General features: G+C 40.5%; 1 long non-coding RNA gene across 5 annotated transcripts in view; it reads left to right on the top strand.

Annotated features, from left to right (window-relative positions):
- Positions 1 to 12642, top strand: part of LOC105370182 (uncharacterized) — a 29035-nt gene extending 16393 nt beyond the window's left edge. For 3 of the 5 annotated variants that reach the window (XR_007063775.1, XR_941918.3, XR_007063774.1), the window contains 3 exons: positions 1007 to 1216; positions 12393 to 12519; positions 12600 to 12642. This is a non-coding gene — a long non-coding RNA (uncharacterized LOC105370182). Of the gene's footprint in view, positions 1 to 1006; positions 1217 to 6165; positions 6338 to 12392; positions 12520 to 12599 lie in introns of those variants that run through there. The other 2 variants (XR_007063776.1, XR_941920.3) reach the window with 2 other exon arrangements.
- The last annotated feature ends 2346 nt before the right edge of the window (positions 12643 to 14988 follow it).

The following is a 14988-nucleotide window of genomic DNA, read 5'->3' as shown; positions in this document are numbered from 1 at the left end:
ATCCCAGCACTTTGGGAGGCTGAGGCAGGTGGATCACTTGAGGCCAGGAGCTCACGACCAGCTTGGCCAACATGGCAAACCTCCATCTCTACTAAAAATACAAAAATTAGCCAGGTGTGGTGGTGTGTGCCTGTAGTTCCAGCTACTCAGGAGGCCGAGGCACAAGAATCGCTTAAACCCAGGAGGCGGAGGTTGCAGTGAGCCAAGATCATGCCACTGCACTCCAGCCTGGACAACAGGGCGAGATTCTGTTTCAAAAAAAAAAAGATACTACCAGAGACTGGGTAATTTATAAATAAAGGAGGTTTAATTGACTCAGTGTTCTGTCTGGCTAGGGAAGCCTCAGGACACTTACGATCATGGCAGAAGGGGAGGAAACCACCTTCTTCACATGGTGGAAGGAGAGAGATGGGCAAAGGAGGAACTCCCAAACACTTATAAAAACCATCAGATCTTGTGAGAACTCACTCACTGTCATGAGAACAGCATGGGGAAAATACTGTCCCATGAAACAATCACCTCCCTTTCTTTACATGTGGGGATTGCAGGTCCCTCCCTCCACATGTGGGGATTACAATTTGAGATGAGATTTGGGTGGGGACACAGAACCAAACCATATCACCCATGTTGCAACTTAATAAACTGAAGCACTGTGTGGTTAAGTAGTTGCAATTGTTAATAGCTAAGCTAGAACTTGAACACTGGTGGTCTGGCTGTAAATGCAGCACTCTTTCTACTACGGCAACTCACCCAGGCAAGTTATTTTATATTTTTATGACAAACCATCCTCCCACATCCAACCCTTTATCTGGGTGTAAAGAAGGGATTGTGGTAAAGATCTTGATTGAAATATACCTCTGACCCCTTATTTGAAGAGATAAAAAGGGAAGATGAATTAGAAAAGGGGGAGGGAAAATATGCAGTGATTAAAAGGTGGGCTTTATTTTAAATTTCCTTTTCTTTCAAGTTTTATATTTAATACTTCAGTGTGTTTGCTTCAAAACAGGTTACCAAGCAACGGCTTCAGGCAAATCACCTCAGATCTGCTCTCCATTCCCCCAGGGTTGTGGGGGTCCGAAGCACAAGCAGATGTCTGGAGGGAGCTATTACTCACATCCTCCCCTTCTTAATTTCCCCTTCTTAATTTCGCTCGGTGGCAGTAGCAGCAGTCACAGACCAATCTCTATCACTTCAGGAAAGAAGGGGGCAGAAACAGGTAAGAAACTGGCAATAAAAGGGCAATAGGAAGAAAGCTTTAATCTAAGCCTTTGCCAACTGTGGTGAGGACAAACCCACTCTGTTTTGTTCAAAAGGTATTCTTTGGAAGGAAAAAAAAATTAGATATGTTGAAAGGAAAGAACATTAAAAAGGGATTCTGGTGTTTTTATCCAGATCACTCAGCCTCTAGTTCTGAAATTCTCCTAAGAGCTCTTGCTAGAAGTCAGAGTTCCTTCAACAGAAAAGAAGAAAAGAAAAAAATTAAGGGGGAAGTGGTGAGATAATTAGGTAGGAACACACGCTTATAAGTTCTATCCCCAAAATACAGAGTGTGAATAATTATATAAGGAGATGAAATATGAGTAAATATGGATATTACAACCTTCTTTGAAATTAGGCCTTATACTGTTTAATGTCATTTTAATAATCTTGTGGTTTATTCTATAATGTATTTTCCAAATTGCTGTAGAAAGCCTGAAGGCACATGTACAATGAAATCATTCAGCAAAGTTTTTTAAACAATTGATAATAGTAATAAAATGAAAACTGGCTGTGCTTAACTGTAATTCACAGTGAGATAATTCTCTGTCCTTTTATGGCATTTGTCTCAAAGTGACTGACCTCTGGGTAAGGATTAATTAAATCCCACAACTAGAATGAGGGGCAAAATTCCAGACAAGTACAATTAAATCCTGTTATAAAGCACCTTTTGATTCATAGATTGGGTTACACCTGGGTCAGATTATGCCCCTGGTGTACATGAGAATGCAGAATACATTTTTCACTCTGTAACCCCGAATGCATATAACACAAGGTTATCCTTTCTTCAGGAAAACTGATTTAATGACTGACTCAAGAACATTTTGCTTTTCCTCATCAATCCCCTGCTGCCTTATAGCTGCTAGTTCTCAGATGATGTCCATGTAATCCTACATTTAAAATATTACAAGATTTGACAACATGATACAATAATTAATTTCCCGAACTCAACTGCTTCTCATTTCTCCAATCTGTCTTCAATAAAAGAAATGAACAAAATGTCCCATGTGCTGTAGCAGCTACTTCAACTAAGCATTAAGAGACTGCTCTTTCTTCCTGCCTTCAGTACTGGGTTTTATTTAGTTATGTTATATTTTTGGAAACCGTATTTTTTTAAAGATATGATTTCTTTATACTTGTGAGTTGAAGTCTGCAGGGCATATGTCCTCTAGTAACTGAACTAAGAGCCCAAAGCAGGAAATGGCCAAATAGCCGTCAGTTGTGATACTAGGGCTTTGAGCCACGACAGTTCTCAATTACATTTGGACCAGGAACCTTAAAATGGAACACAGCCCATTCAGGTAACTCTGTGCCTTTTTATCAGCCACCCTTTGGGCCTTCATGTCTCATTTCCTCTATGCCAAGTTAAACCTGTTGATTAGTTAGACTCTATTAACATCATCCACCATCTGCAGAATATGCTTCTCAAGATCATGCCACTATCAAAGGACTTCCTTGCCCATGTGGGACAGATCCAAGGCCCAGGTTAAATGAAAAGACTTGACAATGTGCAAATAAGACACAGAAGTCACATATGTAGCTTGCTTTGGCTTCAAATAAGCTCTGACTGAGCCAACCAAATCTGAAGAGCTCTAGAGAAGGGTTTTCTGAAAAGTCTTCAAGGAGGCCAGAAGCTTTAGGATATGTTTTAAATGTTAAAATTTCAAGGAATCAAGAGACTGGCTCCATGAGAAAAGAGTATGCTAAGGGCTAGAAAACATTTTCCGAATGTCATAAGCACAAGGAGGTGAGCTATCAGCATGCATCAGTGTGCTTGGCTGAAGGAGATAAAAGTCCAAAACAGCTATGTTTTACCCAAAGCCTCTCCAGAAAGTTGATAAGCAAATATACCCTTGAAAGAAAAGCTGCTTTTCTGTTGTTATATTTAGTGTAGCATATTACAGATCCTCAGATGCCTCTTCTGACTCAAATGATAAAACAATAGATAATATTTCCGTATTGCTAATCTCTAAAGGACAATGAGTTGCTCATTGTCATTTTGCTCACATATTAAAGATAACACAGAAACTGTTACAGTAGGTAGCTAGTCAGACATGAGCAGATCAGGAGAGGGCCCCTGCCAACCAGGAATGTCAGGCAACCATCAGGTGATGTCAGGTGGTTGTTAACTATCTCTCTAAAATAATAATTTGTTGCAGTTGGCACCAGGGAAAGGCAGTCTCCCAGGAGATAGAAAAAACCAGAAGCAGGTGATCAGCAGCTTCCTGATAGGATCTCAGGAGTTGGGAGAGCAGGCTCACACATGCGCATTAAGAGGTAAAATGGTGGAGTTTAACTGGTATATGACCTTCGAGGAACATTCAGTTGGTAAGGCAAGTACGCCTCAAGTGAGCATGCATACAACTTTAGTAAACACACTGCGCATGATCCCCTCTCAAGTGCTGGCAGGCTGCTGCGCATACAGACAGCACACCCCAAGGGAATAATCAGGGAAGAAGGGACACAAGACCCTGGAAGCATGCCAACATATAAAACCCCAAGTCCAAAGGTCAGACTGCACACTTGATCTCTCAAGTCACCTGCTTGGCCCTCTTCCAAGTGTACTTTACTTCCTTTTATTCCTGTTCTAAAGCTTTTTAATAAATTTTCACTCCTGCTCTAAAACTTGCCTCAGCACTCTGCCTTATGCCTCTTGATCAAATTCTTTCTTCTGAGGAGGAAAGAATTAAGGTTGCTGCAGATCCACAGAGATTCACTGCTGGTAACATACTTTGGTGCCACATGACTCGGATGCATTCTGCCGCTAAAAAAAGGACTTCATAGAAGTTTGCAAGCAAGGAGCTACAACAAAGATGATGCCCAAAGGTAATGCCTTAAACATGAGCATAGCAGGTCAGAGAAGATTCCAGCTCCAGTATTCCAAGGTTAGACATGATAAGAACACTGTATGCTATTACAAAACTTAAGCCCATGTTTCTAGAGATGATACCTGCATTCAGCCCTGGCATTGCTATCTCTATAGCCAGAGCACAAATCCACTCCTCGGGGTAAGCCTATAGAATTCTCCAGTCAAACGCACAGTTACAACCCTTCTTCACCATTTGCTAAAGGAATCTCTTCTAACCCACAAGCTCTGGAGATAACAGTGAGGATGAGAGCAGCCAGACCCGGTGAAACTGAGAATTTTTTCTCCTTCGACAGCTTTTCTAATCACCACTGATCCTGCTGTTCAAGGATTTCTGAGCTAGCGGAGCAGAAAGCCCCAGAATCCCAAGAAGCCTCCTTTCTCAGTGTCTGGGCCACTGAACTTCTCTAGACCTCATCTCATTACCGAGGCCCAAGGAGCTCAGGGGCTCGCCTGAGGGCTTCCTCTCAGATCACCTCGCTCATTCTCTAGAGCATAAAAAAAAACCTGCTGATTTTAATTTACTTGTAGAGTGTGTTCTCCTGGCTCATTTTCACCCAGAGTAAACCTAGAAAAGTAACATCAACTAGTTAATTCACTTTTTCATTAACTCAACAGACACTTTTCAGTCTTACTCTGCACAGGATGCTCTGTTAGGTTTTATGAAGGGTGGGGCATGGAGACAGGGATCTCTGGGAATGTGGAAGGGAGGGCATTCAGAGGCTGACATGTGGTGGCTGCCATGGAACTCTGCCTCCCACCCTGCTCTAGGAGTTCACTGGGGCAAGAGTGTGAAGAAGGTAGGAGGATCCAGTGTCTTTGGGGGCAAATACTACAGGATGAAGGGACTGTGAGGGAGGCTTGGAGAAGTCAGTTTTAAGCCACTTTTTATTTTACTTTTTGTATTGCTCCTTTTATTCAGGTACTTTTTTCTCTTCCTTAGTAATTTGATATTCAGGGGTACATGTGCAGGTTTGTTACACAGGTAAACTTGTGTCATGGGGGTTTGTTGTACAGATTATTTCATCATCCAGGTGTTAAGCCTAGTACCATTAATTATTTTTCCTGATCCTCTCCGTCCTCTCACTCTCCACCCTCCAGTAGACCCCAGTGTGTATTGTTCCCCAGCCATTTCTGCTGGGTGAACACATTTCCCCTCTATGTGTTCATGTGTTCTCATCATTTAGCTCCAACCTATAAGTGAGAACATGCTGTACTTGGTTTTCTGTTCCTGTGTTAGCTTGCTACGGATAATGGCCTCCAGTTCCATCCATGTCTTTGCAAATGACACGATCTCATTCTTTTTATGGCTGCATAGTATTCCATGGTGTATATGCACCTCATCTTCTTTGTCCAGACTATCACTAATGGGCATTTAGGTTGACTCCATGTCTTTGTTATTGTGAATAGTGCTGAAGTGAGCATATGCATGAGTCTTTATCACAGAACAATTTATATTCCTTTGGGTATATACCCAGTAATGGGATTGCTAGGTGGAATGTCATTTCTTTCTTTAGGTCTTTGGGGAATCGCTACACTGTCTTCCACGATGGTTGAACTAGTTTACACTTCCACCAACAGTGTATAAGTGTTCCTTTTCCTGCACATCCTCACCAGCATGATATTTTTTGATTTTTTAATAATAGCCATTCTGCTTGGTATGAGATAATATATCATTGTGGTTTTTATTTGCATTTCTCCAATGATTAGTGATGTTAAGCTTTTTTAAAAAAATGATTGTTGACCATATGTATGTCTTCTTTTGAAAAGTGTGTTTATATCCTTGCCCACTTTTTAATGGAGTTGTTTGGCTTTTTTTCTTGTAAATTTGTTTAAGTTCCTTATAGATGTTGGATATTAGATCCTTTGTTGGATGCATAGTTTGCAAAAACTTTCTCCTATTCTATAGGTTGTCTGTTCACTCTGTTGATAGTTTGTTTTGCTGTGCAGGAGCTCTTTAGTTTAATTAGATCCCATTTGTCAATTTTTGCTTTTGTTGCAATTGCTTTTGTAAGCCAATTTTTATATCATTTTCCAAACAGCCACCCTCCTCCTAACTTTGGACAGAGCTTACTCCAGAAGACAGTCTTGGAGTAGAACACCATGGACCAAGTACTTGCCGAGCATGCCCACTGCCCTCGATTGTACATGTGCAAATACTTTCTTTGCCTATTCAGAAATTAGCAGAAACTGTTGAATAAAGGGATAAAGGAGGTGAGAATACTGGTCCTTTATCAGAGAATGAAATAAGCAAAAAGACAAAATCAGAAAAGTAGAAAAGCAGAAAATGACTGTGTTCCTTTGTTCTTGCCTCTTTTTTCCCCCCAAAAAGGGAGGATGCACCACTCTCTCCATTTTCTAAGAAAAGAAGTAAAAACTGAGCGGATAACTCATGTGCCTTCTAAGGATAGTGCCAGCAAGAATAGAACGCAGACCTCTTTCTCTGAAATTTTGATTTGCATGAATTCCTCATCTTCACCTTGAGAAAGGTTCTCTTTCCCATCTAAGCCTCAGAGTAAGATACGTTTGGGCTCTGATTTTTGCATAGCATCTGTTCCTAAGTGAGAATGGCCACTGGAGTTTGGAAACCAGAAAGCAAGAGAAATGGTGTCAAGGGACACAAAACTGTTTAAAAAGGGAAAAACCACCAAATCTCTCCCTCAATCTCTCTCTCTGCTCTCACACACACAGATGCTCAATATTGGCAATGTTAATATATCTTCTGAAGAGACAGAAATGAATAAACCTAACAGAATTCATCTTTGGGGAAAAACAGATGGTTATATAATATGGCTTTTGAGTGAGAAGAATTCCTAGAAAGAAAAAAAAATCAATTGACAATGCAAATTAATTATTGCCACTCACTGCCTTTTTTTCTTTGCACAGAAGATAATTAAGATGACACCAAGAAAAACTGCGGGTTCACAGAAATCAGACCTAACAAGTCAAACAGGTTCCTCCTATGTAAAACCAGAGCTATTGGTGTCCTCTCCCCACCCCCAACCCCCCACCATTCTATCTTTCTTCACTTCCTTCAGCAGCCATTTCTGCTGGGTGATGCTGAGCTTTTTGTTGAGTCAGCCTGGCATATCTTTCATTTGGCAGGCTTCTGACAGGCGGGATTGACAGATCTTTGAGACTCACTCCCATCCATCAGCCTGAGAGGCTTCACAGGGGTAGCCTTCAGTGCCTGTAACAGCACTTCCCCAGGGCCTGGCACACCAGCCAGGCTAATATCAGGGAAAAGAGCACGCGGCAATTTGCCAGGCATTGCCCTGCATCCTCATGCACTCACTTGCCAGGGTAAGTGGGGAATGCTCAAGGCCTCCTGTTGTAATCTGGAGGAGGCCAACCTCAGCTTAGTTCACATTTGCAGTGTGCACAAACACATTCATACACACATGGGTGAGCACATACATAGGCATGCACAGGTGTGCATGTGACAAAGTGAGCTTAAAAACAATAAATTTTACATATTTCTCTTGTTTTTTTCTTATTTCTTTAGCAGAAAAGAATGCTATCAGTCTCCTTAGATGGAAGTGCCTATGACAATTGCCACGCTTTCCTTTTTCAGTCACCCGCAGAGAAAGTCTATTCTTTGGATTCACACTCTCAGCACAAGATGCACAAATGACCATTCCAGAAAAGTGATCAGGAGAAATGTGTGGGGAAATAATACTGTTTTTTAGTTCAACCTCAGTGAATAATGTTTCTTCACACTGCAAATGTGGGTTAACATGCCAGTATTTATCTGCTAGACCCTGTGAAATTGCCTCCCACCCACTCCCTATTCCTGGGTTTCAGATTCTCATTTCCACAAAAATCTGCAGGTTAAACTGTTTGTGACATGGAAGAATAATATTAAGGTGCAAATTAAATCTCAATGGTTTGTTGAAACATTGATACTTGGTAAACATGTATTTGTGGAGGACTTCAAGTTTTTTTCACTTCAAATCCAAGTGAGATTTAAAAAATAATCCCCATTGTTTATTGTCAGAAAGTCATTGGCCATTTATTAAAGAAGCTGATGCAAGAAAATGACATTTGCTCTACTCCGATGTCAACCAACGGAAGCAAAGTCCACTATTTGACCTCTGGGTGTCCTGTTATTTAACAAAGATTTCTGGTGCCTTTCTTTAGGAAGGTGAACATATCTACTAGCAGAACGTAGGTATTAAATCTAGTGGTCCTTTGATAGTAAGAATCACCCAGGTGTTTGTTAAATATACAGATTAACAGTGTTCTTCAATGACATTTCCCATTCAAATAGTGTGTATCTAGAGCCCCAGGCACCTAAATTTTTAACAAGCTCTTTAGATGAAGCTAAGTAACTTGCTTAGTATCACATTGCTGGCTAGAAGTCAAACTGGGGCTAGATCCAGGTTTTTTGACTTTTAGACCAACAGTATGGACAATTCTGTGCTGTATCAATTTTATCGTGGAAAAATAGCAAAGCTGTCAGGCAAAGAAATACAGGATGGTATACCTTTAAGGCAGCTATATTTACATGAAGCTTAGGTGGCAGTGGAACTTGAGAGTATTACTGAGCCACCACTTAAGGTTCTAGTTTTGAAGAACATATGCTATCCTTCTAATTTTAGTAACTATTTTTAACTTCCTAAGTTTGTGATAAAACTAGGCTATCCCTTTATCCCCCAAGTGCAATGGTCAGGATTTCACAGTCCCGTCATCACAAAATGTTCAGAAATCCAGCCTATTCTACTTCAAATCTCCATTTCTTCTTTGTCCCACTTTCTAGGTTCTCTGAGAGTTCATAGGTATCTCAAAGGAAGGAGTCTAGTTTACTGTATGCCGGTAGGGAAAACATATCCATGCCCCCGCCCTCGTAGTATCTACAAGTCCAGGACAGAGTCTTGCTTTCATCACAGTGACAATTCAAGGGTGATCTGGGCCATTTCCTCAGTGTTACCCATAATAAAAGAGGCTCCCAGCCCTTCTGGCTATGGCTTTTTGGGTTGAAGTCCATGTGATTTCCTCTGCCAGACCCTGGACTGTCCCAGGATGGTTGTGGGCAGCATCTGGATGGAGCCGGGTAGCAGAGATGGACTCTAGGACACCCCACAATGAAATATATTTTAAGGTCAGCTCAGAAATAGAAGTGTTTTTATAAATTTCTTTTCAAATCTCAGTTTTAGTTCTAGCTTCTTGCAATAAAATTCCCTACTCCTAGGACTTCTAGTCAGTATCAATTTCATATAAGAAGTCTCAGCCTATTTCTTATATGTATATTCTATTCTTCATCTGAACTTGAGATGCTCCCAAACGATGCCCAAATTTGGTACAGTTAAATGAAGTCAAGCAGGAGGAATTCTCAAAAAAATCATTTTATCCAAAATAGCAGTAAGTCTCATATTGGAAGGTCACCAGCAAAGACTATCAAAAAAACAGAATTTTAAAATTCTTAGTTAGGACCTACATGATATGCTTTAGCGGCACCAAAATTTATTCCTGAAGCTAAACTATTATTTTGTGTGACTGTTCTGCAACCAGTCATGAACTTCTTGGGGACAGAGACTGTTTGTTATTCATTATGTGTCCTCAGCACTTAGCCCACTGACAGGCATATAGTGAAATTTTAACACATGTATACCGAAAAAATAGATTGCGAAAAGTTGTCTTTTCTGAATTGTGCTGGATGCAAGTTCAGAGAAAGCAAAGGCAAAAGCCAAAAGCACACACTATTGCTGACTTTTGAAAGTAATGGGTTGGCCAGGTGGGGTGGCTCACACCTGTAATCCTAGCACTTTGGGAGGCCAAGGCGGGTGGATTGCCTGAGCTCAGGAGTTTGAGACCAGCCTGGGCAATATGGTGAAACCCCATCTCTACTAAAATACAAAAAAAAATTAGCTGGGCATGGTGGTGGGCGCCTGTAATCCCAACTACTTGGGAGGCTGAGACAGGAGAATCACTTGAGCCCAGGAGGTGGAAGTTGCAGTGAGCCGAGATCGCGCCACTGCACTCCAGCCTGGGCGACAGAGCAAGACTCCATCTCAAAAACAAAAAGAAAAAAAAAGAAAGTAATGGGTTAAAAGACTACAAGCATGTGTGTGTTGTAATGGACCTAGAATGTCGTAAAATATATTAAGATTTGGGCCCTGGTGGTGGGGCCGGGGGGAGCCGGGAGAAGCACTCTGCAGAAAGAACCTTCTTGTCCTTTGTTAACTATAAAATCCTCAGCTCTCCGGGGAAGTAGCCCTCCTTTGGTGGAACTCCCTGGAACATAGGGTTCACTTGAGGGGCATTTACCAGTCAGCCCATATTCTCTGGGGAAGAACAGCAGGCAAAGTAATGCTAAGCTGATGGGCCTCTTAGGCCTGAGGAATTCAGGGATGACTACCTAGGTGGCTCAATGGCAGCAGAAGCTGTGGGAAATGGACAAATGGACAAAACTGGTGTGAGTTTTTAAGCAATACCCAACTTACCTTTCTTGGTGACATTTTACAACATGTGGCTTTTTTTGCTTGATTTACAGTCACATCCAAATCACTGCTGAAGCAGCTCTTCTGCTTCCTACTCCTAAATGCTAAATACCTTGGCAAGTTTGGCACATTCTTTACCGATATTACTCATAAATCTTTTCACTAGAGACTTTGACATTTCTTAAGTAATGCCTGAGATGACAAATTAGCTTGGAGTCAATCTTCCCATCTATTTTTATGCAAAGTTTGTTTCCATTTGACTATAAATAGAAAAAAAAATGGGGAAAAAAGATAACTAGGAAAATTGATTTTTAAAATTCTCACATTAAACCAGGTTATAAATGGATGGAAAACTGGGCTTGAAGGTTGACATTGAGCAGGTTACTTAGTCTCTTGCTGTCTCAGTTGTATCATCTGTCAAAGAGTAAGATTGGATTCAATAATTAAATTGTCATTTTAGGATTGGCACAAGGAAAATGAAATTTCCTAGCAGCCTTAAATTTTTTAAAATTAATTTTCTATTAAATTTTAACATATATATAAAGAAAAGTGGCATATTGGCCAGGCACGGTGGCTCACACCTGTAATCCAAGCACTTCGGGAGGCTGAGGTGGGCAGATCACCTGAAGTCGGGAGTTTGAGACCAGCCTGACCAACATGGAAAAACACTGTCTCTACTAAAAATACAAAATTAGCCTAGTGTGGTGGCACATTCCTGTAATCCCAGCTACTTGGGAGGCTGAGGCAGGAGAATTGCTTGAATCTGGGAGGTGAAGGTTGCAGTGAGCCGAGATCGTGCCATTACACTCCAGCCTGGGCAACAAGAGTGAAACTCCATCTCAAAAAAAAAAAAAAGAAAGAAAAATGGCATATTATGATGATCTCGCTTAATGAATTATCACAAAAAGAACTCAACCATCTAAGCACAACCTTGATGAAGAAATCAAGTATTACTAGCATCTCAAGCCTCTCTCATGGCCCATCAAGTCCCCACCCTGCTCAGCCTTTTCCAAACATAAACACTCATCATTACTTCTAAAATCACAAATTAGTTTGCTTTTGAACTTTATAAAAATGAAATTATACCATATGTTTTTTAACGTCTGTAAGACATATATTGGTCTATAATTTGGCGCTAATCAAAATTCAGATTTATCAACATAGGTGACCAAGGTTTTGGGCCTTCGTGCTTAAGCCTTTATGTCATTCAGAATTACTCCATATGTGGGGAGGGAAATGACTCTATGTATTATGAGCTGAAAGATATTTAATGTACATAATTAGAGTTTCACATAACCATTGAAAGAGCTGGGGAGGCAAAGGTCAAGAAGGCCACTTTAGGAGACCTGGTGGTATAGTGATCACAGAGAAGCCACCACTGATGACATCGGCTGCCTGTCCACGGGAACCCGGAGCCAAAGGAAGCCCTCAGTGAAGATCTCAGCTCCCCAGCCAAACTGTTGCAAGAAAAAAACACCTTCTCCTTCTCTTCCACCTTTGAAATCTCATGTGAATTCTTCCTACTGGCAGCTTTAACCCAGAATCCGATTCAGGAAAACGTTCTGTGACCTAGGGAAAAAGAACACTGAGAAGGGCAATGAAGACACAGAGCTAAAAGCAGATAATGTGGCCAACACTTAGTTATAAACTAGCTGGTGGAAGCAAATTGACCTCTCTGCATTTCTAATCTTCTAGTCTCTCCTAAGTCTTCAGATCCATTTCCAATACAAATCCTATAGTGCCCTCCTTAGGGATACTTAAAAGCCTGCTTCTATGTTACTTCTTTCAAAACCAGTGAGTGACTTAGAAGGTCTTCTCTTTTATTGCAGATGCGTAGAGCAGCTTCTGAAGATCAGCAGGCCTGTGCAGCATCATCTGAGGGTCCCCAGAATTAAAGCAACATGAAACCCTTCATACTGAGTGTGGCCACTTCCCACTGACCATGACTCACAAATGGTGAGGCCACCTGACAGCGTTGAAGATAATTACTATTCATCCTCTTCTGCTAATAGAAACTATTTTCTCCCCTAATCTAGGTTTCCAATTTTAGAAGCTGCCCTGTCCTCATAAAAGAATTACCAGGAAGGTAGGAGGTTTGTTTGTTTGCTTTTCTGTGCATCTAAGTACCCTGACAATCTAATCTCTGGAGAGTCTCAGTAACCAGGCAACACAAGTCATGCTCCAATTGTGCGGTCCTCAATCCACTTTTCCTGTGCTATTCCAGTTCAAAGTAAGAATACCAAAGCCAGAACTGCAGAAGATAAATGTGGATCTTTATTACTACAAGCAGATAACGGGGTCTGCCCCCTCTTCTTATTGCTGAGTAGAAATTCTGAGGCAAGTGCTTTTAAAAAGACTAGAACAGCACATTTTACCTAAGAATAAGATTATAGCTAGTAACCTGTTTTTCTTACAAAAAAAGAAAATGGAAGGAGATAGCTTTTGTCTGGTGACAGTTTATTTTAACCCAGATGCTTCCTCCACTTGTAATTTGGCCTCATTTGTGTTTTCAGAAACATCACCAATTCAGACGGGTTTCTTGGGTAAGGACTTAATGGACAAGGTTAAACACAGCTGTTCTGGTGCCTGAAATCCTTAAGAGTCTAGCAGGACCGGAGCAAGTAAAATAAACTCAGAAAGAGCTGTCTGGATCAGTGTTTCTAGAGACAAAATGAGTATAAATGAGCATGGAGTCAACAGGCCTCCTGGGTCAAGGTCAGAGGCAACCTGGGGACACGGATTAACAGCGGAAGAACACTGCCTATAGTACATTTGCTATGAGACAGCACAGAATTGGACATTCTGGCCTTTAATCATCAGGCTATCACAAGGAAAAGTGGTCCAGATTTAGTACTGTGTCAGCACTTTTTATAATAAATGCTTCATTTACTAGGAATTTAGCTATCGAGTTGCAGATGATAAAAATGACACTCAAATGCAAGGTCAAACAGCAAACATTTATAATTCCTGTCTATTAGCTAAATACACAGTCCTAATTATCCAGGTGAAAGGGGTAATTGTTTTCCCAAACAGTGCCTCAATCTCCAGTGATTTACAAAGCACTTTTACACACATCATCTCGTCACAGTGGTGTGTATGCCCTTGTTACACAGATGGATTGAACTGGAAATTGTTTCATTTGCCAGTTTTAAGTATCTTCCTTTTCCCTGTGGGTGGTTTCTGTAAGGCCTGATGGACATATTATCATCTGGATCTTCCAGGCAATGACACCTCTAAAGAGGCCGATGAACTAGAACTATCAGTTCTAACACCTTAGGCAAGAATCCCTCAATCTCTCTGGGTTTCAGCTTCTTCATGTGTATACTGTAGATATGTTGTCAAAATTGTGCTAATCTTCACCAACTAATAAGAAATGATAAGAATGAGATTTTGTGGATATGGGACTTTAATATACAGTGAGAGGAATATAAATCAGCATGACTTTTTGCTGGTGTTATGTAATAAAATGTAAAACGTACATACCATTTCATGCAGAAAATTTATATCCAAGAATCTATCCCAATGAGGTAGTTACATAAATATGCAAGTATACACAAGATGTTCATCACAATTAGAAACAACCAAAATGTCCACCAACATGAGACTAGTTCAAAAAGATACGAGGTATTCATACAAGAGACTTTATGCATCCACTGAAAAGAATCATGTAATTCATATTGGTTGACTCAAATAGAAGCTCCATCACATATTTTCAAGACAAAAGGAATTACAAAGCAGTATGGTTGATATAATCCCATTTATGTGCAAATCAAATAAATTCCAGATTTCACTGTGGTTCAATTCAGCCCAGTGTCACATTCACAGAAACAACCCAGCAACAAAAAGGCATTACAGAGTAATTTCAGCCTTGGCTCTCCATTTTCAGAAAACATTAAAGAACCTACAATTCCTAACCCACAGCACCACATCTTAAAATAGTCTCTGTATCCCACCTTTTTCATCTTGTTCTCTAATTCTCACACTGTAATAGCTCCTGAAGGCTTTCTCCTCCCCAATATGCTTTTCTACTCTCAACCAAAGACATCACAATGATACTCAAACAGATCAGCCACTTCTCTTTTGTCCCTCTTCCTTCTTCCTTTGTTTTTTTTCTTCACTGATTACCATACTCCGAAAAATAAGGTGGAGAAAGAAGAAAATGCTAAGTGGACAAAATTTCCTTTCCAGAGAGTAGGAGAAAAAGAGATTGACTATGCATATACTACAATGTCTTAACCTTGTAGCAAGCGCAAAATTATTTAAGTGATATCTACTGCATATATGCCTAGAAGTGTCTGCAAGGATGTTGACAAAATTCTTAAGAATAATTATCTCAGTTGGGATTTCCCTGTGAACTTTGCTTTTAATTTTATATCTCTCCTTATACCTCTTTGAGTAACTCATGATGAACATGTTTTGTTTGTG

This window comes from Homo sapiens, chromosome 13 (genome assembly GCF_000001405.40).
Source record: "Homo sapiens chromosome 13, GRCh38.p14 Primary Assembly".
NCBI classification, from domain to species: domain Eukaryota; kingdom Metazoa; phylum Chordata; class Mammalia; order Primates; family Hominidae; genus Homo; species Homo sapiens.
This window is presented reverse-complemented; position numbering and strand designations above follow the sequence as displayed.